Source organism: Homo sapiens, chromosome 19 (genome assembly GCF_000001405.40).
Source record: "Homo sapiens chromosome 19, GRCh38.p14 Primary Assembly".
Classification (NCBI taxonomy): domain Eukaryota; kingdom Metazoa; phylum Chordata; class Mammalia; order Primates; family Hominidae; genus Homo; species Homo sapiens.
In genome coordinates, this window is record NC_000019.10 from 50,412,510 (window position 1) to 50,431,722 (window position 19,213).

At 57.5% G+C, this 19,213-nt stretch overlaps 2 protein-coding genes across 18 annotated transcripts in view, besides 16 other annotated features; both read left to right on the forward strand.

Moving 5' to 3' along the window:
- Nucleotides 1-5,509, forward strand: part of POLD1 (DNA polymerase delta 1, catalytic subunit) — a 33,696-nt gene extending 28,187 nt beyond the window's left edge. For 7 of the 14 annotated variants that reach the window (XM_047438947.1, XM_047438949.1, XM_047438948.1 and 4 more), the window contains 10 exons: nucleotides 917-1,012; nucleotides 1,233-1,370; nucleotides 2,306-2,481; nucleotides 2,929-3,081; nucleotides 3,215-3,317; nucleotides 3,887-4,019; nucleotides 4,101-4,214; nucleotides 4,536-4,588; nucleotides 4,663-4,760; nucleotides 5,333-5,509. In XM_047438947.1, coding sequence (XP_047294903.1) covers nucleotides 917-1,012; nucleotides 1,233-1,370; nucleotides 2,306-2,481; nucleotides 2,929-3,081; nucleotides 3,215-3,317; nucleotides 3,887-4,019; nucleotides 4,101-4,214; nucleotides 4,536-4,588; nucleotides 4,663-4,760; nucleotides 5,333-5,438 — 1,170 coding nt within the window. In that variant the 3' untranslated portion in view covers nucleotides 5,439-5,509. Of the gene's footprint in view, nucleotides 1-916; nucleotides 1,013-1,232; nucleotides 1,371-2,305; nucleotides 2,482-2,928; nucleotides 3,082-3,214; nucleotides 3,318-3,886; nucleotides 4,020-4,100; nucleotides 4,215-4,535; nucleotides 4,589-4,662; nucleotides 4,761-5,332 lie in introns of those variants that run through there. The other 7 variants (NM_001438212.1, NM_001438213.1, NM_001438210.1 and 4 more) reach the window with 3 other exon arrangements.
- Nucleotides 2,266-2,385: an enhancer, noted in NCBI's record as "active region_14985". NCBI's record gives its function as "activates an Ori minimal core promoter by ATAC-STARR-seq in GM12878 lymphoblastoid cells {active_cell/tissue: GM12878}" and the evidence as "EXISTENCE:reporter gene assay evidence [ECO:0000049][PMID:35858748]".
- Nucleotides 2,266-3,119: a biological region, named in NCBI's record as "H3K27ac-H3K4me1 hESC enhancer GRCh37_chr19:50918101-50918885".
- Nucleotides 2,335-3,119: an enhancer, noted in NCBI's record as "H3K27ac-H3K4me1 hESC enhancer chr19:50918101-50918885 (GRCh37/hg19 assembly coordinates)". NCBI's record gives its function as "activates a minimal SCP1, AML or CMV promoter by ChIP-STARR-seq in naive H9 embryonic stem cells {active_cell/tissue: H9 hESC(naive)}" and the evidence as "EXISTENCE:reporter gene assay evidence [ECO:0000049][PMID:30033119]".
- Nucleotides 2,516-2,695: a silencer, noted in NCBI's record as "silent region_10962". NCBI's record gives its function as "represses an Ori minimal core promoter by ATAC-STARR-seq in GM12878 lymphoblastoid cells {active_cell/tissue: GM12878}" and the evidence as "EXISTENCE:reporter gene assay evidence [ECO:0000049][PMID:35858748]".
- Nucleotides 3,096-3,185: a silencer, noted in NCBI's record as "silent region_10963". NCBI's record gives its function as "represses an Ori minimal core promoter by ATAC-STARR-seq in GM12878 lymphoblastoid cells {active_cell/tissue: GM12878}" and the evidence as "EXISTENCE:reporter gene assay evidence [ECO:0000049][PMID:35858748]".
- Nucleotides 3,096-3,904: a biological region, named in NCBI's record as "H3K27ac-H3K4me1 hESC enhancer GRCh37_chr19:50918886-50919670".
- Nucleotides 3,120-3,904: an enhancer, noted in NCBI's record as "H3K27ac-H3K4me1 hESC enhancer chr19:50918886-50919670 (GRCh37/hg19 assembly coordinates)". NCBI's record gives its function as "activates a minimal SCP1, AML or CMV promoter by ChIP-STARR-seq in naive H9 embryonic stem cells {active_cell/tissue: H9 hESC(naive)}" and the evidence as "EXISTENCE:reporter gene assay evidence [ECO:0000049][PMID:30033119]".
- Nucleotides 3,366-3,525: a silencer, noted in NCBI's record as "silent region_10964". NCBI's record gives its function as "represses an Ori minimal core promoter by ATAC-STARR-seq in GM12878 lymphoblastoid cells {active_cell/tissue: GM12878}" and the evidence as "EXISTENCE:reporter gene assay evidence [ECO:0000049][PMID:35858748]".
- Nucleotides 3,796-3,855: an enhancer, noted in NCBI's record as "active region_14986". NCBI's record gives its function as "activates an Ori minimal core promoter by ATAC-STARR-seq in GM12878 lymphoblastoid cells {active_cell/tissue: GM12878}" and the evidence as "EXISTENCE:reporter gene assay evidence [ECO:0000049][PMID:35858748]".
- Nucleotides 5,056-5,195: a silencer, noted in NCBI's record as "silent region_10965". NCBI's record gives its function as "represses an Ori minimal core promoter by ATAC-STARR-seq in GM12878 lymphoblastoid cells {active_cell/tissue: GM12878}" and the evidence as "EXISTENCE:reporter gene assay evidence [ECO:0000049][PMID:35858748]".
- Nucleotides 5,226-5,285: a silencer, noted in NCBI's record as "silent region_10966". NCBI's record gives its function as "represses an Ori minimal core promoter by ATAC-STARR-seq in GM12878 lymphoblastoid cells {active_cell/tissue: GM12878}" and the evidence as "EXISTENCE:reporter gene assay evidence [ECO:0000049][PMID:35858748]".
- Nucleotides 5,568-5,736: a silencer, noted in NCBI's record as "fragment chr19:50921334-50921502 (GRCh37/hg19 assembly coordinates)". NCBI's record gives its function as "represses an EF-1alpha promoter that drives an FKBP-Casp9 reporter gene in an ReSE screen in HepG2 liver carcinoma cells, and both phorbol 12-myristate 13-acetate-treated (for megakaryocytic differentiation) and untreated K562 erythroleukemia cells {active_cell/tissue: HepG2 | K562 | K562(+PMA)}" and the evidence as "EXISTENCE:reporter gene assay evidence [ECO:0000049][PMID:32094911]".
- Nucleotides 6,429-18,805, forward strand: SPIB (Spi-B transcription factor). Of its 4 annotated transcripts, none has more exons than NM_003121.5 (6): nucleotides 6,429-6,476; nucleotides 7,437-7,464; nucleotides 9,964-10,036; nucleotides 10,314-10,528; nucleotides 11,096-11,246; nucleotides 15,529-18,805. In NM_003121.5, exons 1-6 carry the CDS (start codon nucleotides 6,454-6,456, stop codon nucleotides 15,825-15,827), a joined length of 789 nt encoding a protein of 262 aa, NP_003112.2. In that variant the 5' UTR covers nucleotides 6,429-6,453; the 3' UTR covers nucleotides 15,828-18,805. The 4 variants fall into 4 exon arrangements, with proteins under 4 accessions (NP_003112.2, NP_001230928.1, NP_001230929.2 ...); NM_001243999.2 differs by having other exon boundaries at nucleotides 11,096-11,242; NM_001244000.2 differs by having other exon boundaries at nucleotides 11,131-11,246.
- Nucleotides 7,276-7,325: an enhancer, noted in NCBI's record as "active region_14987". NCBI's record gives its function as "activates an Ori minimal core promoter by ATAC-STARR-seq in GM12878 lymphoblastoid cells {active_cell/tissue: GM12878}" and the evidence as "EXISTENCE:reporter gene assay evidence [ECO:0000049][PMID:35858748]".
- Nucleotides 15,148-15,721: an enhancer, noted in NCBI's record as "H3K27ac-H3K4me1 hESC enhancer chr19:50930914-50931487 (GRCh37/hg19 assembly coordinates)". NCBI's record gives its function as "activates a minimal SCP1, AML or CMV promoter by ChIP-STARR-seq in naive H9 embryonic stem cells {active_cell/tissue: H9 hESC(naive)}" and the evidence as "EXISTENCE:reporter gene assay evidence [ECO:0000049][PMID:30033119]".
- Nucleotides 15,722-16,294: an enhancer, noted in NCBI's record as "H3K27ac-H3K4me1 hESC enhancer chr19:50931488-50932060 (GRCh37/hg19 assembly coordinates)". NCBI's record gives its function as "activates a minimal SCP1, AML or CMV promoter by ChIP-STARR-seq in primed H9 embryonic stem cells {active_cell/tissue: H9 hESC(primed)}" and the evidence as "EXISTENCE:reporter gene assay evidence [ECO:0000049][PMID:30033119]".
- Nucleotides 15,850-16,139: an enhancer, noted in NCBI's record as "active region_14988". NCBI's record gives its function as "activates an Ori minimal core promoter by ATAC-STARR-seq in GM12878 lymphoblastoid cells {active_cell/tissue: GM12878}" and the evidence as "EXISTENCE:reporter gene assay evidence [ECO:0000049][PMID:35858748]".

Below are 19,213 nucleotides of genomic sequence, written 5' to 3' on the forward strand. Positions count from 1 at the left end.
AAGAAAAAGGAACATAGGACAGGTGGAACAAGTAAAAGCTAGACAGTAAAGTGGTAGACGTAAGCCCAGCTATATCAGTAATTACACTAAATGTAAATGGACAAAATGCTCTAGTTAGACAGATTTCCTGACTGGATCCACACAAACAAAAACAGAAGAATCACACCCATCTCTCCTTGGTGTCCCCACCCCCAGCCTCAGGTTTGGTGGTGGTGGTGGTGGTGGTGGTGTTGTTGTTTAAGTATTTTTTAGTTTTGTGTGTGTGTGTGTGTGTATTTTTAGTAGAGATGGTGTTTCACCATGTTGTCCAGGCTGATCTCGAACTCCTGACCTCAAGTGATCCAGCCACTTCAGCCTCCCAAAGTGCTGGGTGTACAGGCATAAGCCACCACGCCAGCTAGTTTTCTTAACTCTAAAATAAGACAGTGGGTTTCTCAATGGTTTCTTAGTCAGGGTGGTGCCACCCCCTGCTCTGGGGGGCATTTGTCAATGTGTAGGTAGGGCCAGTTCTGGTGGTACAGGGATGGGGGTGGCACTGCTGGCTTCCAGGGATGGGGCTGGCTATGTCGGTGGTCCTGTACCATAGAGAGCTGCCCAGAATGTCAGTGTGAGGGAAACACTGGGCCAGTGGCCTCTTCAGGCCGCAGTCTTTCCAGCATGCATTTGATGTAGTCACTTCCTTGTGCATGTCCAGAACTCTGAGCCAGGGAACCCACTTCTTTCCACCTGACCATTGAGGAGCCGCCTTATAGTCCCATTTTGCAGATTTGGGAACTGAGGCCCAGGAGGGGCAGAGTGGCTTGTACATAAGCCTATGCCACTGGGAAATGGCAGAGGCGGGACCCCTCCCCCGCCGGCCCACGTTCACTGCACATGGCCCCCAGGGCTTCACTCCGCATGATTCTCTCCCCGACAGAGCGTCACGGGGTTCGGACGTCAGATGATCGAGAAAACCAAGCAGCTGGTGGAGTCTAAGTACACAGTGGAGAATGGCTACAGCACCAGTGCCAAGGTCGGGGGCTGCCCACCGCTGCCCTGAGATGGGCCCAGGGCAGGTGGGGGGATGGAAGCCGGGCCGGACCCCCATGTCCCCGTGCCTCCTGGTCACACCCTGCCCACTCTCCTGTTGCATCCTTGGGTCCCGTTGGCATTAGCCACCTGCCACCCCCCGACACCAGTAGTTGACAGAAGGGACCCTGCTTCTCACATACACACATCCCCACCGCCCGCAGGTGGTGTATGGTGACACTGACTCCGTCATGTGCCGATTCGGCGTGTCCTCGGTGGCTGAGGCGATGGCCCTGGGGCGGGAGGCCGCGGACTGGGTGTCAGGTCACTTCCCGTCGCCCATCCGGCTGGAGTTTGAGAAGGTGCGTGGCTGGGTCAGGGGCTCTGCATTTAGGTGCCCTCATCAGGGTACTCAGGGTGTCCCGTTCTTTGGGTTCACAAAAGCCACAGTGTGAAGGGATGTTGCTGCTTAGATTCTCCTGAGGCTGGGGCCTTGGTTTGGGAAGCCTCCAAGGCCTTGGGCTTTGTTACCCTGGATGGCATCTGTTCTTTGAAAACCCTGTCGCTGTCCCTGGTTTTGAGGTGTCACAGTGTCCCTGGTTTTGAGGTTTCCCAGTACCTGTCAGATGTGGAGCTGCCCTCCACGCAGGGACCCTGATGGGGGTGCACCTTAGATCTGTGCACCATTGCCCCTGGCCCTCTGAGTGCGGCACACTTGGTCCCAGGAAACCTTGCACCATATTTTCTTTTGAAGAGTCTGGGTCTCGCTCTGTCGCCCAGGCTGGAGTGCAGTGGCGAGTTCACAGCTCACTGCAGCCTCCAACTCCTGGGCTCCGGCGATCCTCCCGCCTTGGCCTCCTGAGCCGCCACGCCCAGTTCTCACACTGTACTGTTTCCCCGTGGCTTAACGCTCTCTCGTGCCAGGCCTTGGACTTGGAGCCTCGCAGAGTGGGGAGGTCTCTGCCTCAGGGCTCACCCAGCCGTAGTTTCTCCTCTCTTTCATGGGATGCTTCATCGACTCGCCTGTCTGGATCTCATGTTTTAGGGACTATCTGGATTTATCCCAGTCTCTGTTTCAGATTGGGGTCTCTGGTGTGGGGGCTCTGGCATTGCCGAGGGGCCTCAGGAGCCACTTCCAGCCATACAGTGTCTCGGTCCATCCCACCAGGCTCAGGGCACGGCTCCCATGTCCTCAAACTGCGTCTGGGACCCTGTCTACCTTCAGTTTCTGGGGGGCGTCTCCAGATTGGGGCTTGGCCTCCTCAGGCTCAGGGTCTTGGCCATGGCTCCCTCCCAGGTCTACTTCCCATACCTGCTTATCAGCAAGAAGCGCTACGCGGGCCTGCTCTTCTCCTCCCGGCCCGACGCCCACGACCGCATGGACTGCAAGGGCCTGGAGGCCGTGCGCAGGGACAACTGCCCCCTCGTGGCCAACCTGGTCACTGCCTCACTGCGCCGCCTGCTCATCGACCGGTGTGTGGGGCCTCCTCCCTCAGACTCAGGGGGCTGGGCCCCAAACCCCTCCTCCCTCAGACCCAGGAGTCTAGGCCCCAGCCCCTCCTCCCTCAGACCCACGGGTCCAGGCCCCCAGCCCCCTCCTCCTCAGATCCCGGGGTCAGGGCCCCCAGCCCCTTCCTCTCTTAGATACAAGAGTCCAGACCCCCAGCCCCTCCTCCTCTGGGAACACAGGTGTCAGGCCCAGCTCTTCCTCGGTGGTGAAGCAGTGGAAAGAGTCGGCTTGGGCAGCTGTGGGTTCAGGCCCTGCCTCTGCCACTCTGCAGCCTATGGTAGGAAGGGCCCCTCTCTGCCCTGAGCCTCAGCCCTAAGAGCTCATCCTGGTCTCCAGCCCTGAGACCCGTGGAGGCACCAGCCTGGCCCTCAGTGCCTTTTGGTGACGCTGTGCGGCCCGCTCTCCTACAGAGACCCTGAGGGCGCGGTGGCTCACGCACAGGACGTCATCTCGGACCTGCTGTGCAACCGCATCGATATCTCCCAGCTGGTCATCACCAAGGAGCTGACCCGCGCGGCCTCCGACTATGCCGGCAAGCAGGCCCACGTGGAGCTGGCCGAGAGGTCCTGCGCGGGGCGGGTGGCCTGGCCAGAAATAACCCCCTCCTTCCTGCCAGCTGGGCCCACTTCCTACACCCTCGCCCCCACCCCCGCCACCCACCTGCCCTCACCCACCCGCCACCCCATCTCCACGCAGGATGAGGAAGCGGGACCCCGGGAGTGCGCCCAGCCTGGGCGACCGCGTCCCCTACGTGATCATCAGTGCCGCCAAGGGTGTGGCCGCCTACATGAAGTCGGAGGTCAGGCCCACCTGGCTGCCTGCTCCCGCCCAGCCCCCTCGCTCTCACTTCTGCTTTCCGAGATGGGCGGGCCTGCGGGAAGGGTGGGGCCTCCCGTGCCCTGTGGGGCCCTGAGAACCGCCCCCCATGGCAGCCTGGGTGTGGCCTCGGCCCCCTCTGGAGGTCCCCCCTCTATTCTGACCCCTCCCTTGCTTCCCTATGGAAGGGGCCCCAGTCCCTCCCCTGTGCATACAGCTCCCCAGCCGGGGGTTCCCTTGGATTCATAATCCTCCAGCTCTACCCCCACCCCCAGTGACCCACATCTTAGCCCCATGACCTCTGACCTCCTGACCCCTTCCTCATCCTTGCTTCCCCTTGTGAACTCTGACCCTTCCGTGGTGACCTGAGAGCCCTACAGACTCTGTGGCCCAGAGACTCCGTGACCTCCGACCCCATCCCAGACCCAGGCCCCCCCCATGTCACAGCCCGCAGGCAGGCCTAGGCCCTAAGCCCCAGGCCCCATGACCACCCCGTGTCCACCCCGGTGCCCTTTCCCTGGCTGCCCGGGTGTGACTGCCATGTGGCCGCAGGACCCGCTGTTCGTGCTGGAGCACAGCCTGCCCATTGACACGCAGTACTACCTGGAGCAGCAGCTGGCCAAGCCCCTCCTGCGCATCTTCGAGCCCATCCTGGGCGAGGGCCGTGCCGAGGCTGTGCTACTGCGTACGGGGGCACCAGGGGACTGGGGGCACCCTGGGGGGGCAGAGGAGATCACCGGCCCACCACCTGCCTCCTCTCCTGCAGGGGGGGACCACACGCGCTGCAAGACGGTGCTCACGGGCAAGGTGGGCGGCCTCCTGGCCTTCGCCAAACGCCGCAACTGCTGCATTGGCTGCCGCACAGTGCTCAGCCACCAGGGTGAGCGGCCCTGGCCACTGGGCCCCCACTGGCCCTCAACCTGCTCTGCCGTCACCCCAGATCCTAGACACCCACCCCATCGGCTGGCACTGCCACCCAGTGGGCCCAGGGCCCCTGGGTGGGTGGCCCCTGTCTCCACCCCCCACAGAGGGTCCTCGGCCCCCACCCCGGGAGTTCCCCAGGGGAGTTTTCCCAGCACACTTGCTCCGTTGTTCTCCAGCCTCTGGGGACTTTCAGAAGCTGGGATTGGCAGTGGGCAGGGATGGGGTGGCCCAGTTCCTGGCTGGGCCCCAGCACTTGGGCTGACCCGCCTCCCCACAGGAGCCGTGTGTGAGTTCTGCCAGCCCCGGGAGTCTGAGCTGTATCAGAAGGAGGTGAGAGGGCCGGGAGGTGAGGAGGGGCCAGGTGGGGAGGCGGGGGCGCCCTGCTCAGCCGCTGCCGTCCCCAGGTATCCCATCTGAATGCCCTGGAGGAGCGCTTCTCGCGCCTCTGGACGCAGTGCCAGCGCTGCCAGGGCAGCCTGCACGAGGACGTCATCTGCACCAGGTGTGTGCCATGTCCCGACCCTGGGCTGCCCCGCCCCTTCCCAGCTCCCAGGCCTGTGGGTTGTGGACCCAACCTCTGACTCCAAGGCCTCTCCTGAGCATCCTCCCCGCCCATCCCCTTCCAGCTGTGAGCTGTCCTGAGCCTCAGTGTCCTTGTCTGAAAAATGGGCCCATCCCAGCCCCCCAGAGGGGGTGGGTGCTTAGGGAGGCAGCGCCCGGCACCCAGTGTTGCCCGGGAAACGGCTGTCCTCCCGACACACCCAGCCAGCCTGGCCCCCTCCCCAGGGCGGGGCCGGGCTTTCCCCAGGGAACGGGTAGGCGGGGTGGGTTCCCACGCCAGGTGACAGGTGATATACGGCCAGCCATGGCCCTGCACCTCGCCAGGCACCCGCTGTTATCGGCTCCCCCCCCCCACCCCCCCCGTGCCTGCTGAGCAAACAGCCCGCTGCGGGAGGGGGCGGGTGGGCTGGGCAGCAGGCGGGGACCAAAGTCCTGGGAACAGCCCCCACCCCTCTCCCAGGCTGGGCACTGGGCCTTGGCTGGTCCTGACCCTGCCCCTGCCCCCACCCGCAGCCGGGACTGCCCCATCTTCTACATGCGCAAGAAGGTGCGGAAGGACCTGGAAGACCAGGAGCAGCTCCTGCGGCGCTTCGGACCCCCTGGACCTGAGGCCTGGTGACCTTGCAAGCATCCCATGGGGCGGGGGCGGGACCAGGGAGAATTAATAAAGTTCTGGACTTTTGCTATATGGTGCTTTGTGGTCTCTGGGGGACACTGTCTGGTTTCATAAGCCCTGGCCTTGGCTGGGACCCTCCTGAGGCCCGCACCGCCCCTCATCCTCAGCAAAAGCCCCCGGACTCCCACCTGTGCTGCCTGGTTCATGTGGGCCAAGCCTGCCTCAGTTTCCTCTCTGGCCCTGAAGGAACCCTTATACCAGCGCTTCTCTGCCCTGCTTAGGGCCCCCAGGTGTCTGGCCCCGGCCCAGCCCTCCCTGGTGATGACCCTGGGGACCCTGGTGGCTGCCCCGCCCTCCAGGTGCTGACCTGTTTCCTCCAGGCCCTGGGGCAGCCCCAGGCGCACCGGGGCTTCCACTCCTCAGCCCGGCCAAGGGGACCCCCCCATCCCCCGCCGGACCACACACCCACGATGTTTCCACGTCGGGGTCCTGGCAATGGGCTTTGGGTCTGGGTTTCCCCCCAGCGACTCCCATCTCTATCCCCGCAGCCTCTAACTGCCGTCAGATGCCCTCGGCCCTCCCGTCACCTCACACATCCCCCGGGGAGAGTCTTGTGCTTGCCCCTCGGCCCCCAGCCCGCCCCTGCTGGAATTCGGCTCCTGGGTCCAGATCCTCCGTTTCCTGATTCTCCTCTTCAGTGAACCCCAGCCCTTCCTCGATGTTTTCAGGGTTCCCCCAAATCCAGCTCCTGTCCCATCTCCAGCCCTCAAGGTCAGCCCCCCAAACCCAGCCCCACGGGGATCCCCAAATCCAGACAGCCCCTGGCCCGCCATCCCTGCCATGTGACAAAGGGGTTGTGCAATCCAGCCCCCTCCCCTGACCCCCTCCCTGAGGGGATTTTTGAGGAGGGCCGAGCTTGTGGCCAGCGGGCACCCTCCTCCCCCCGGCAGGGGCTGGGCCAAGATATAAATAGGGTTGGCGGCTGCAGCGGGCGGCAAACAGCCCGCCCGGCACCACCATGCTCGCCCTGGAGGCTGCACAGTAAGTGAGGGCCCCCAAACCTGCACCCGGGGTCCCCACCTGCACTGCCCCTCTGTGGGGCCTCACCCATGGGCAGTGGTTTCTCTGCTCCTCACGGCCGGTGGGTGGGAGTGGAGGGGAGGGGTCCACCCTGTCTCTTGCCCCTTCTGGTTCTGTTCCCTCTTCACTTCGGACTCTCCATCCCCCCAGTTCCTATCTTTCCTGGTCCCCAAAGATCTCATTTCCCCAGAACACTTGCTAGCGTGCCCTCCTGCGGGCGTCCTCCGTGGCTCTCACTCTGTCCATCCTCCTGTCTCCCCGAGTTCCCGTATCTGTTCGCTCTGTATCTGGCATCTCCCAGCTCTCAACATTCTGCCTGTTGCTCTCTGTCTCTCTGCCTGTCTCTGTGTCTCTGTCTCCAGTTCTCGCTCTCCCTGCCTTTTGGTCTCCTTCTGCCTCACCCTCACTCTCAGTGCCTCCATCTGGGGCTCCAGGAATCCTCCCCGCCTCTGTGCGTGAATGTCCCTTTGCACACCTTTCTCTGTGTCCCACCTCTCCTTGAGCCTCCTCATCTGAGTCTTCTCCGGGCTTCCCCCTCTCTACCCAGACATCTCTCCATCCTTCTCCTCTGGTCCAAGCTGGACTCAACTGACTCGCCACCAAGGCCGCACTTGACCCAGGCCCCCTCTCCATCCCCACACCTCCTTTCCGGGACTTTCTCTCCCTCACTTTCCCTGCCCCTCCCCACCAGGGTGTCTATGCAAATTCTGGGGAGGAGGGGGACATTTGCCTCCCCCCCACCCCCCACTTCCTGTCCCAGCAGGGGGTAGTGGGGGAGTCCGGTGAATGTGGTGGGGCTGGTCCCTCACACAGGGCTGCGGTGGTCACAGCTGCTGCCGCCTCCCCATCAGCCCCCAACCACTTTGAGATTCAGGTGGCTGGAGGCAGCCTCAGCATGCCCCTGTGTCTCTCCCCCTCCAGGCTCGACGGGCCACACTTCAGCTGTCTGGTGAGTTGGGGCCCCTGGGGGCCAGGGAGGGGTGGCCCACAGTGACCTCCCTCAGAGAAGTCATTTGCTTCCTGCCTCAGTTTCCCCTCCCACCTCTTCCTGTCACTTTGTTTCTGAGCTCCCCCTTGGTATCTCCTGCTACCCCGCATCCGTATTTTTGATGTCTCTCTCCCCCTCTCAGGCTTGAATCCACTTCCTTGTGGCTTTGTATCTCTCTCTGCCCATCCCATATTCAGACAATGTATTTTCATGTTCCTTTCCTTCTTTTTGTTCGTATTTTTAAAAATTGTGTTCTCTAACAGTTCAGATACGGAATACTATACCCAACACCCTTGAACCCACAATCCAGTCTGAGTAATCAAATCTTACTGATGTGGTTGAAAGAAAGCCCCTGTTTATGCCCCTCCACATTCACACCCCAGCCATGTTTTTTTTGTTTGTTTTTGTTTGTTTGTTTTTTAATTGAAGTGTAACTAACAAGTCAGTAAAGTGACAAATCTTGTGTTTTTGCATTATCTATACACCGTGTAGCCACAAGCCAGATCAAGATACCGAACATTTCAATCTCTGAAATATTCCTTCCTGTCCCTTCTCAGTCAATACCTTTCTCTGATATTTTCCGCCACCAATTTGTAATTTGTTTTGCCTGCTCTTTTTTTTGTTTTGCTTTTTGAGAAGGAGTCTCGCTCTGTCACCCAGGCTGGAGTGCAGTGGCAGCGTCTTGGCTCACTGCAAGCTCCACCTCCCGGGTTCAAGCAATTCTCCTGCCTCAGCCTCCCAAGTAGCTGGGATTACAGGCATGTGCCACCATGCCCAGCTAATTTTTGTATTTTTAGTAGAGGCAGGGTTTCACCATGTTATCCGGGCTGGTTTCAAACTCCTGAGCTCAAGTGATCCTCCCACCTCAGCCTCCCAAATTGCTGGGATTACAGGCGTGAGCCACCGCACCCAGCTGCCTGCTTTTGAACTTTATGTAAAGTGAGTCATACAGCATGTCCCTTTTGGGGTCTGGCTTCCCTCACTCAACATGAAGTGTGTGTCAGTGTTTGTCCTTTTTCCTTGCTGTATAGTACTCTATCTATGATCAGCCCACACCACAGTCTGTTTATCCCTTCTTCTGTTGATGACACCTGGGCTGTTTCCAGTTGGAGACTCATAATAAAGCTGCTGGGATGATTCTGGAACAAGGCTATTTTGTGCACATCCATTTTCAGTTCTCTTGATTAAATGCCAAGGAGTGAGACTGCCAGGTCCTAGGCATGGTGTGGATCTAGCTTTAGTTTTTCCTAGACTCGAGTTCTTGAAGCAACAACACATGATTCATGGGGCGAATCAACATATGGAGATTTATTTATTTATTTATTTATTGAGACAGAGTTTTGCTCTGTCGCCGGGCTGGAGTACAGTGGTGCGATCTCGGCTCACTGCAACCTCAGCCTCCTGGGTTCAAGCGATTCTCCTGCCTCAGCCTCCCAAGTAGCTGGGACTACAGGTGCGCACCACCATGCCTGGCTAATTTTTGTATTTTTAGTAGAGACGGGGTTTCACCATGTTGGCCAGGCTGGTATCGATCTCCTGACCTCATGATCTGCCTGCCTTGGCCTTCCAAAGTGCTGGGATTACAGGCATGAGCCACCATGCCCGGCCTATTTATTTTTCGAGACAGAGTCTCACTCTGTCACCCAGGCTGGAGTGCAGTGGCGCGATCTCAGCTCACTGCAACCTCCACCTCCCAGGTTCAAGCGATTCTCCTGCCTCGGCCTCCAGAGTAGCTGGGATTACAGACATCTGCCACCAGGCCCAGCTAATTTTTGTATTTTCAGTAGAGATGGGGTTTCCCCATGTTGTGCAGGCTGGTCTCGAACTCCTGACCTCAGGTGATTCACTGGCCTCAGCCTCCCAAAGTGCTAGGATTACAGGCGTGCGCCACCACGCCTAGCTAATTTTTGTATTTTTAGTAGAGACGGGATTTCACCATGTTGGCTAGACTGGTCTTGAACTCCTGACCTCAGGTGATCTGCCCGCCTCGGCCCCCCAAAGTGTTGGGATGACAGGCGTGAGCCACCACGCCTGGCCTGGAGGTGTATTTAAAAAGCATTGACCCCTGCCTCTGTTAAGTGAAACACTTCCATTTCCCCTTGCCCTTCACCTCCGGAGCCCCCAGGCAGGCAAGGCTGGGGGAGTTCTTCCACCCCTTCTCCAGGCGCCCTGATTCGCTGACTGTGTGCCAGTGAGGGGCCAGGGTTCTTGGGAGCCCACCGTCTTAGCAGGAGCTGGCTGCTGTGTGCCCCTATTGGGTTGTGTCTCTACTCTCTGTATCTCTGTCTCTTTGTCCCTGTCTCTGATGCCTAGTCTCTGTGTTTCTTTGTTGCTCTAATCTCTCCAGCATCCCCTCTTCTCTCCCATGTCTGTGTTGGAGTCTCCCCAAGGGTCCAGGGTGGGGGTTGGGAGTCCCCAAGGCCTGGGATGACCCCTCTTCCCTCCTGCACCCCGTATCAGTACCCAGATGGCGTCTTCTATGACCTGGACAGCTGCAAGCATTCCAGCTACCCTGATTCAGAGGGGGCTCCTGGTGAGTGACCCCAGCCCTGTGCCCTTCCTGCCTTGGGGCCCATTTCACAGATAGGGGAGCTGAGGCCCAGGGGAGGTCATTTCCTAGCACAACAGGATAAAGGTGGCCCGGGCCTATAGCCCTCCTCCCCTTTCCTCTCCTACCCATCCGCTCCTCCATGCAAATCCTGGGGTCAGAGATTTGCACAGCCTACAATGGCCTCTCTGTGCTGGGGGCTTCGACTGCGAGGAGGCCTCCGTGAGACATCCCAGCTTCTGACTCAGTGCCCTTCCCCCAGACTCCCTGTGGGACTGGACTGTGGCCCCACCTGTCCCAGCCACCCCCTATGAAGCCTTCGACCCGGCAGCAGCCGCTTTTAGCCACCCCCAGGCTGCCCAGCTCTGCTACGAACCCCCCACCTACAGCCCTGCAGGGAACCTCGAACTGGCCCCCAGCCTGGAGGCCCCGGGGCCTGGCCTCCCTGCATACCCCACGGAGAACTTCGCTAGCCAGGTGAGTGGTAAGGGGACAGTTAAAATCAAGCCCAAACCAGGTGTGGTGGTGCACGCCTGTAATCCCAGCTGCTTGAGAGGCTGAGGTGGGAGGAGGATTGCTTGAGCCCAGAAGGTCGAGGCAATCCACTGCACTCCAGTCTGGGCAACAGAGCAAGACCCTGTCTCAAAAAAAAAAAAAAAAAAGAAAAAGAAAAGAAAACTCAAGCTCAGTCATTTGGTTGAGGTTTGCTGGGTGCCGGGCACTGCATTGAGACTGCACATAGTAAGCCCTGCAGCGGCCTCCCAGGTTACGTTCCGTTGTTGCCCCTCTGAACAAGTGAGTCAAGAGAGGTAGTGACAGGAAGCCAGGGACAGGGCAGACTCGCATTACCTGTGTTGGGCCGGCTTTGAGGAGGTACCTCAGGTGTCCCCTGGCCACAGCGTGGTGATCTGAACAAAGGCCAAAATCTAGGCTGTCAACAAAGAGGGAGACCAGAGCCAGGAGGGCCACCGCCTTGGCCTGAGAGGAGGAAGTGGAGGGAGACAAGGGGTCCCTGGACATGCAGGTGACCCTGACCTTCCGCAGACCCTGGTTCCCCCGGCATATGCCCCGTACCCCAGCCCTGTGCTATCAGAGGAGGAAGACTTACCGTTGGACAGCCCTGCCCTGGAGGTCTCGGACAGCGAGTCGGATGAGGCCCTCGTGGCTGGCCCCGAGGGGAAGGGATCCGAGGCAGGTATGCGGGAGTGGCTGGGGTGGGGGAGATGCCAGCTGGAGATGGTGGGGGGGCTGAGAGCACCATGGCTTCCTGGGCCTCTACATATACTCCAGCACTCTGGGCAGCTCCCAGATCCGCACCACCTGCTGGCTGTGTGACCTTGGGTAAGTGCCTCTACCTCTCTGTGCCCAGGTTTCCTGTCTGTGCGATGGGGATGGAGGTGATAGTGTCTACCCTCCTGAGGTCGTTGGGGGGACTAAATGGGATAGTAAGTGTAAATGGGACAGCAGTGCCAGGCACAGAGTGAGCACTTCAATAAGTCAACCTCTTCACCATCATTCCCGACACCACAGCAACAGAAATGATAATGCTATCAACCCCCAACGGTTCAACCCTTGCCCCCTGCCCGTGTGCCCAACATCCTTTATGCTCAACCCCAAGAAAGCTGAGATCGTTCCTTCCTTTCTGTGTCTGGGCCTCGGTTTCTCGTCTGTAAAGTGGGCATCACTGTCATCCTCCCCATCTCACGGGGTTATGATGGAGATTCAATGAGCTCATAACTGTAAAGTGCCTTGTGAAGCACCTGGCACTACATGCTCCACGGTGCATTGTAAAAATCAACACACAGGCTGGGTGTGGTGGCTCACGCCTGTAATCCCAGCACTTTGGGAGGCTGAGGCGGTCAGATCAACTGAGGTCAGGAGTTCGAGACCAGCCTGGCCAACATGGCAAAACCCCGTCTCTACTAAAAACACAAAAATTAGGCTGGGCATGGTGGCTCATGCCTTTAATCCCAGCACTTTGAGAGGCTGAGGAGGATGGATCACGAGGTCAAGAGATCGAGACCATCCTGGCCAACATGGTGAAACCTCACATTTACTAAAAATACAAAAATTAGCTAGGCGTGGTGGTGTGCACCTGTAGTCCCAGCTACTCGGGAGGCTGAGGCAGAAGAATCGCTTGAACCCAGGAGGCAGAGGTTGCAGTAAGCCGAGATCTTGCCACTGCAGTCCAGCCTGGCGACAGAGTAAGACTCTGTCTTAAAAAAAAAGAAAAAAGAAAGAAAAAAAAATTAATGGGGCATGGTGGTACATGCCTGTAATCCCAGCTACTCAGGAGGCTGAGGCAGGAGAGTTGCTGGAACCCAGGAGGCAAAGGTTGCAGTGAGCTGAGATTGCACCACTGGACTCCAGCCTGGGTGACAGAGCAAGACTCCGTCTCAAAAACAAACAAACAAAACCACAGCCTCATTTAAAAAATTTTAATTAATTAATTAATTTATTTTTTGAGACAGAGTCTCGCTCTGTTACCCAGGCTGGAGTGCAGTGGCACGATCTCGGCCCACTGCAACCTCCACCTTCTGGGTTCAAGCAATCCTCCTGCCTCAGCCTCCGCAGTAGCTGGGATCACAGGCACCCACACCATACCCAGCTATTTTTTGTATTTTTAGTAGAGATGGGGTTTCACCATCTGGCCAGGCTGGTCTCAAACTCCTGACCTCAGGTGATCCGCCCGTCTCGGCCTCACAAAGTGCTGGGATTACAGGCGTGAGCCACTGTGCCCAGCCACACAGCCTCATTTGTGGCTGAGAGACTTCAGCTCAGAGAGGTTAATTAAGTCACCTATTTTAACTTAGGACATTTAAGATGGAGAGGATCTCTCCAATGACTAGGAAAGACACAAGATGGAAATAAAGATTTTATTTATTTTTATTCATTTATTTGAGACGGTCTCCATCTGTCACCCAGGCTGAAGCGCAGTGGCGCAATCTCGGCTCACTACTGCCTCAAACTCCTGGGCTCAATCGATCCTCCTGCCTCAGCCTCCTGAGTAGCTAGGACCACAGGCGTACACCACCACACCTGACTAATTTTTAAAATTTTTGTAGAGGTGAGGTCTCGCTATGTTGCCCAGGCTGAACTCCCAACTCCTGAGCCTATGTGCTCCTCCCACCTCAGCCTCCCAAAGTGCTGAAGTTACAGGCATGAGCCACCACACCCAGCCAGAAATAAATTATTTTATGGCTTATAGGTCCTGGGGCATACATGGCACGCCTGGAGGCCACACACACCAGGTCAGGGAGCGCAGGCAGGGAGGGAGAGAGAGAGGGACCAGTGGACTGACGCCTTTATTGGGTCCAAGGCGTCGGCCAAACAGGTTTCCTGAGGGGGTTTTAATTGGTGGGTTCAGGCCAGGCACAGTGGCTCATGCCTATAATCCCAGCACTTTGGGAGGCTGAGGCTGGTAGATCACCTAACGTCAGGAGTTCAAGACCAGCCTAGCCAACATGGTGAAACCCCGTCTCTACTAAAAATACAAAAATTAGCTGGGCCTGGTGGTGCACGCCTGTAATCCCAGCTACTTGGGAGGCTGAGGCAGGAGAATCGCTTGAATCCAGGAGGCAGAGTTTGCAGTGAGCTGAGATCATGCCACTGCACTCCAGCCTGGGCAACAGAGCAAGACTCCAGCTCAAAATAAATAAATAAATAAATACTTGGTGGGTTGAAAGCAAGCAGGATCAAGTTCCAGGAGGTCACGCTGTGCCTGAGAGGGGGTCACTGAGGCATCTGCACAGTCCATGCAGGGCCGTCAAGTAGGCTGTCCATGGCTCTCCCACAGGGAGGTGGTCACCAGGAGTCAGTTGCATAAGAGAGATATCTGGGTCAGCCACACTGAGGAACTCGGGGAGGGAGATGTAGAACTGCCAAGGAGGACAGCCCTGCTTCCAGCATGAGAATGTCCAACTTTTATTTAGTTTTATTTTATTTTATTTTGAGAGGGAGTTTCGCTCTTGTTGCCCAGGCTGAGTGCAATGATATGATTTCAGCTCACTGCAACCTCTGCCTCCTGGGCTAAAGTGATTCTCCTGCCTCAGCCTCCCAAGTAGCTGGGATTACAGGCATGAGCCAAGCACACCCAGCTAATTTTTGTATTTTTAGTAGAAACCGGGTTTCATCATGTTGGCCAGGCTTGTCTCGAACTCCTGACCTCAAGTGATCTGCCCACCTTGGCCTCCCAAAGTGCTGGGATCACAGGCATGGCCCACCGCGCCCAGCCTCCAACTTATACTTTCGATGAATGCCGAGGCAGCCTAAAATTATAAGAATTCAATCCGGGTGCAGTGGCTCACACCTGTAATCCCAGCATTTTGGGAGGCCGAGGTGGGAGGATCACCTGAGGCCAGGAGTTCAAGACCAGCCTGGGCAACATAGTAAGACACCATCTCTACAAAAAATAAAACAATTAGCTAGGCATGATGGTGCATACTTGTAGTCCCAGCTACTGGGGAGGCTGGGGCAGGAGGATTGCTTAGGCCCAGGAGGTCGAGGCTGCAGTGAGCTGTGATTGCTCCTCTGCACTCCATCCTGGGTGACAGAACGAGACCCTGCCTTGAAAAAAAAGAAATTAAGATGTCACTACGTCACCACCCCAAGGTCACACTGCTGTAAAATGGCAGAGATGGGATTCTTGTAGCCAGTGCCCTGCTTTGAAACTCCCAGTTATTGGCCGGGCGCAGTGGCTCATGCCTGTAATCCCAGCACTTTGGGAGGTCGAGGTGGGCGGATCACCTGAGGCCAGGAGTTCGAGACCAGCCTGGCCAACATGGCGAAACCCCGTCTCTACTAAAAATATAAAAATAAGCCGGGCATGGTGGCAGACGTCTGTAGTCCCAGGTACTCGGGAGGCTGAGGCAGCAGAATTGCTCGAACCCAGGAGGCAGAGGCTGCAGTAAGCCGAGATTGCGCCATTGCACTCCAGCCTGGGCCGCAGAGCAAGACCCCGTCTCAAAAACAAACTAAACCCTAGGAGCCCAGGAGTCAGGTGCCCTGGCCTCTCCCGGGACCCTGTCCCGCTTTGGGCTGAGAGGCTGGGAGACCAGGAGCTGGAGAGATAGCCAGGCCAATGCAACTGCCTCCAGATCTGTTCGCCTCTCCGTTATAATCCTTTAAGCGGCGCTGTCAACCCATTTCACAGATTCTTTCATCCACTAGCTCAACAAATATGGAATATTACGTGCTGGCCGCAGGGCGGAAGGCAGGACAGATGTAAATCTCGAAAATTAAAGCACAGAACGCGGAGGGGGCCTGGGGCTGACAGCTTCGGGCAGGGGGAGTGGCTTGCCCCCCCCCCCCCCCGTGGTGAGGGGCGCAGAGCCAGGTGTATGTAACAGCCACTTCCCTCACCCCACTTTTCAGATCCAGGAGATGGAGGCCGGGGTGGAAGTCTCGGAGGAGGGTGGATGGGGAAGGCGGGGCCTTAGGGACCCCTCACCTAACGCGTGCCCCCGACCCCACCGCAGGGACTCGCAAGAAGCTGCGCCTGTACCAGTTCCTGCTGGGGCTACTGACGCGCGGGGACATGCGTGAGTGCGTGTGGTGGGTGGAGCCAGGCGCCGGCGTCTTCCAGTTCTCCTCCAAGCACAAGGAACTCCTGGCGCGCCGCTGGGGCCAGCAGAAGGGGAACCGCAAGCGCATGACCTACCAGAAGCTGGCGCGCGCCCTCCGAAACTACGCCAAGACCGGCGAGATCCGCAAGGTCAAGCGCAAGCTCACCTACCAGTTCGACAGCGCGCTGCTGCCTGCAGTCCGCCGGGCCTGAGCACACCCGAGGCTCCCACCTGCGGAGCCGCTGGGGGACCTCACGTCCCAGCCAGGATCCCCCTGGAAGAAAAAGGGCGTCCCCACACTCTAGGTGATAGGACTTACGCATCCCCACCTTTTGGGGTAAGGGGAGTGCTGCCCTGCCATAATCCCCAAGCCCAGCCCGGGCCTGTCTGGGATTCCCCACTTGTGCCTGGGGTCCTCTGGGATTTCTTTGTCATGTACAGACTCCCTGGGATCCTCATGTTTTGGGTGACAGGACCTATGGACCACTATACTCGGGGAGGCAGGGTAGCAGTTCTTCCAGAATCCCAAGAGCTTCTCTGGGATTTTCTTGTGATATCTGATTCCCCAGTGAGGCCTGGGACGTTTTTAAGATCGCTGTGTGTCTGTAAACCCTGAATCTCATCTGGGGTGGGGGCCCTGCTGGCAACCCTGAGCCCTGTCCAAGGTTCCCTCTTGTCAGATCTGAGATTTCCTAGTTATGTCTGGGGCCCTCTGGGAGCTGTTATCATCTCAGATCTCTTCGCCCATCTATGGCTGTGTTGTCACATCTGTCCCCTCATTTTTGAGATCCCCCAATTCTCTGGAACTATTCTGCTGCCCCTTTTTATGTGTCTGGAGTTCCCCAATCACATCTAGGGCTCCTCCAAGATCCTTTTGTCATGTCTGAAATCACTCTTGAGAGGTCTGGGGTGGAGGATGGGGAGTCAGTGAAATGTGTCATGTCTGGGCCCTGTCAGGGACACCCTTGTTATATCTGGGATCCTCCAATCACATCTGAGACCTCCTAGGCTCTCCATCTGATATGCCCTTTCAGGGACCCCACAAAGACTGAGTTCTCATGGGGATCCTACCCTTCCTAGTGCCACTCCCTATGGCCATGCTGAAGACCACTCTGGCCACGCGACTGATTTTGGGTGATCATGGCAGCTCCCCACCCATGTCATTTCTAACCAGAAGTCTCAAGGTCGTCACCCCCCTGCCCCCCAACCGAGGCCCCGGTCGCTGGTGGTGGTCTCTTTAGTGCACTGTAGCACTTGGTGGTGGAGGTGTGAGGGATCCACATTAACAGCAGGCCATCAGCTGGGCAATGGCTCACACCTGTAATCCCAGCACTTTGGGAGGCGAGGCAGGGGGAATGGCTTGAACCCAGGCATTCAAGACCAGCCTGGGCAACATAATGAGACCTCGTCTCTACAAAACATAACAAAAACAATTAGCCGAGCGTGGGGGTGAACACCTGTGGTCCCAGCTGCTCAGGAGGCTGAGGTGGGAGGATCTCTTGAGCCCAGGAAGTAGGAGGCTGTAGTGAGCTGTAATCGTGCCACTGCACTCCAGCCTGGGCGACAGAGTGAGACACCGTCTTAAAAACAAAAACAAGGCCGGGCACGGTGGCTCATGCCTGTTGTCCCAGCACTTTGGGAGGCCGAGGCAGGCGGATCACGAGGTCGAGAGATCGAGACCATCCTGGCCAACATGGTGAAACCCTGTCTCTACTAAAAATACAGAAATTAGCTGGGCGTGGTGGCACGTGCCTGTAGTCCCAGCTACTCGGGAGGCTGAGGCAAGAGAATCGCTTGAACGTGGGAGGCAGAGGTTGCAGTGAGCCTAGATTGTGCCACTGCACTCCAGCCTGGGGGACAGAGCGAGACTCCGTCTGAAAATAAAAACAACAAAAACAGCAGACCATTCAAAATAGGGAGACTTTGCATAATCCAGATTTCTGCCTTCACTTAAAACTTTGGACGGTCTGGAGAGAGTCGGCCAGTTTTCGGTGGGGGGTGGGGAGCTGGAACAGGACAGTAGCCTTTCCTAATGAGGCATTTGTTCTCCAATCTGCCCCAGTCGCTGCCATCCCTGGCTATCTCACCCTAGCAGCTTCTCAAGCCTGTTGGCTTTAGACCACTGTATAAACCCAGCTGGAACTGAAGCCTGGGTGGACTATGGAGCCCTGGTTGGGACCCCCAGGGAGTCAAAGGCTGCGGGCCAAGAGGCCAGAGGTCCTTGAGCCTGGGTGGGCAGGTGGATCTAGGGTGCATGACTTGCTGCTTCCCAACCTTAGTTTGTCCCTTCTGTGAAAAAGGGAGAGAAGGAGGAGGAAGATCTCAAAAAGACTTTCCAGCCCAGTGCGGTGGCTCACGCCTGTAATCCCAGCACTTTGGGAGGCCGATGCAGGTGGATCACCTGAGGTAGGAGTTCAAGACCAGCCTGACCAACATAGTGAAGCCCCTTCTCTACTAAAAATACAAAATTAGCTGGGCGTGGTGGCATGTGCCTGTACTCCCAGCTACTTGGGAGGCTGAGGCAGGAGAATCGCTTGAACCTGGGAGGCGGAGGTTGTAGTGAGCTGAGATCACACCACTGCACACCAGCCTGGGCGACAAGAGCGAAACTCCGTCTCAAAAAAAAAAAACTGTTGCAGCCCCGTTGAGCCTTTGACACCGCCTGAAATCCACCCCACTCCCAGGAGGAGGAGGAGGAAGGAATGCCAATGACCTAGAGACACGAGAAGTCCATGTGGAGGCACACAGCAGCTGATGGCAGAGCCCAGGCTGGGACCTGCCCTTAAGAGAATGAGTGGGAAGGGGGAGGGAGGAAGGGCAGGTAAAACGTCCTCCCCAGGGCCCCCTGCAACGGGGAAGGTACTTTTTACAAAAGCTATCATTGTCACCCTAAATGTGGAATAAAATAAGATGCATCGACGTAGACAAACCTCCTGGGACCTTTTGTCAGGGACTGCAATCCTGCCCCTCCACTGAGGCCGCTGGCTCTCAGAGACACCGTGACATCACGGGTGATGATGAGAGGAGTTCAAAGAGAGAATTATATGCTGGCGCGGTGGCTCTGTAATCCCAACACTTTGGGGGGCCAAGGCAGGAGGATCGCTTGAGTACAGGAGTTTGAAACCAGCCTGGGCAAGATAGTGAGATCCCCTTCCCACCCGTCTACAAAAAAAATAAAAAATTAGCGGGGTGTGGTGGCGTATGCCTGTAATTCCAGCTACTCCGAACTACTGAGGTGGGAGGGTCACTTGAGCACAGGAAGTTGAGGCTGCAGTGAGCCGTGATCGTGCCCCTGCACTCCAGACACGGCGAGACCCTGTCTCAAAAACAAACAAACAAATCACAAAGACACCATACAGCAAAACCTATCTGAACCTTAATGCCGAGAAATAAGAGGCTTGACGCGCAGGCACAGAGGGTTCCGTTTATGTCTTCCTCTATTCCTGCCAACTGAAGTTCTCCACCTCCTCCCCGCTTCCCCTTCCGTCTGGGTGTCTGTCCCCTTCCCTCTGAATTGAGCCCTCGGGCTGGCAGCGAGGGACGCGAGGCTTCAGGTGGCCGCGGCACTGCAGGCCTGGGCCCCTCCCCAACTTAGCGG

Coding starts and splice junctions, on each gene's coding strand:
- SPIB (NM_003121.5), top strand. CDS start 6,454: ATGCTCGCCCTGGAGGCTGCACA. Junction 10,529..11,095: donor CGGAGAACTTCGCTAGCCAG/GTGAGTGGTAAG, acceptor GACCTTCCGCAG/ACCCTGGTTCCCCCGGCATA. Junction 11,247..15,528: donor GGGGAAGGGATCCGAGGCAG/GTATGCGGGAGT, acceptor ACCCCACCGCAG/GGACTCGCAAGAAGCTGCGC.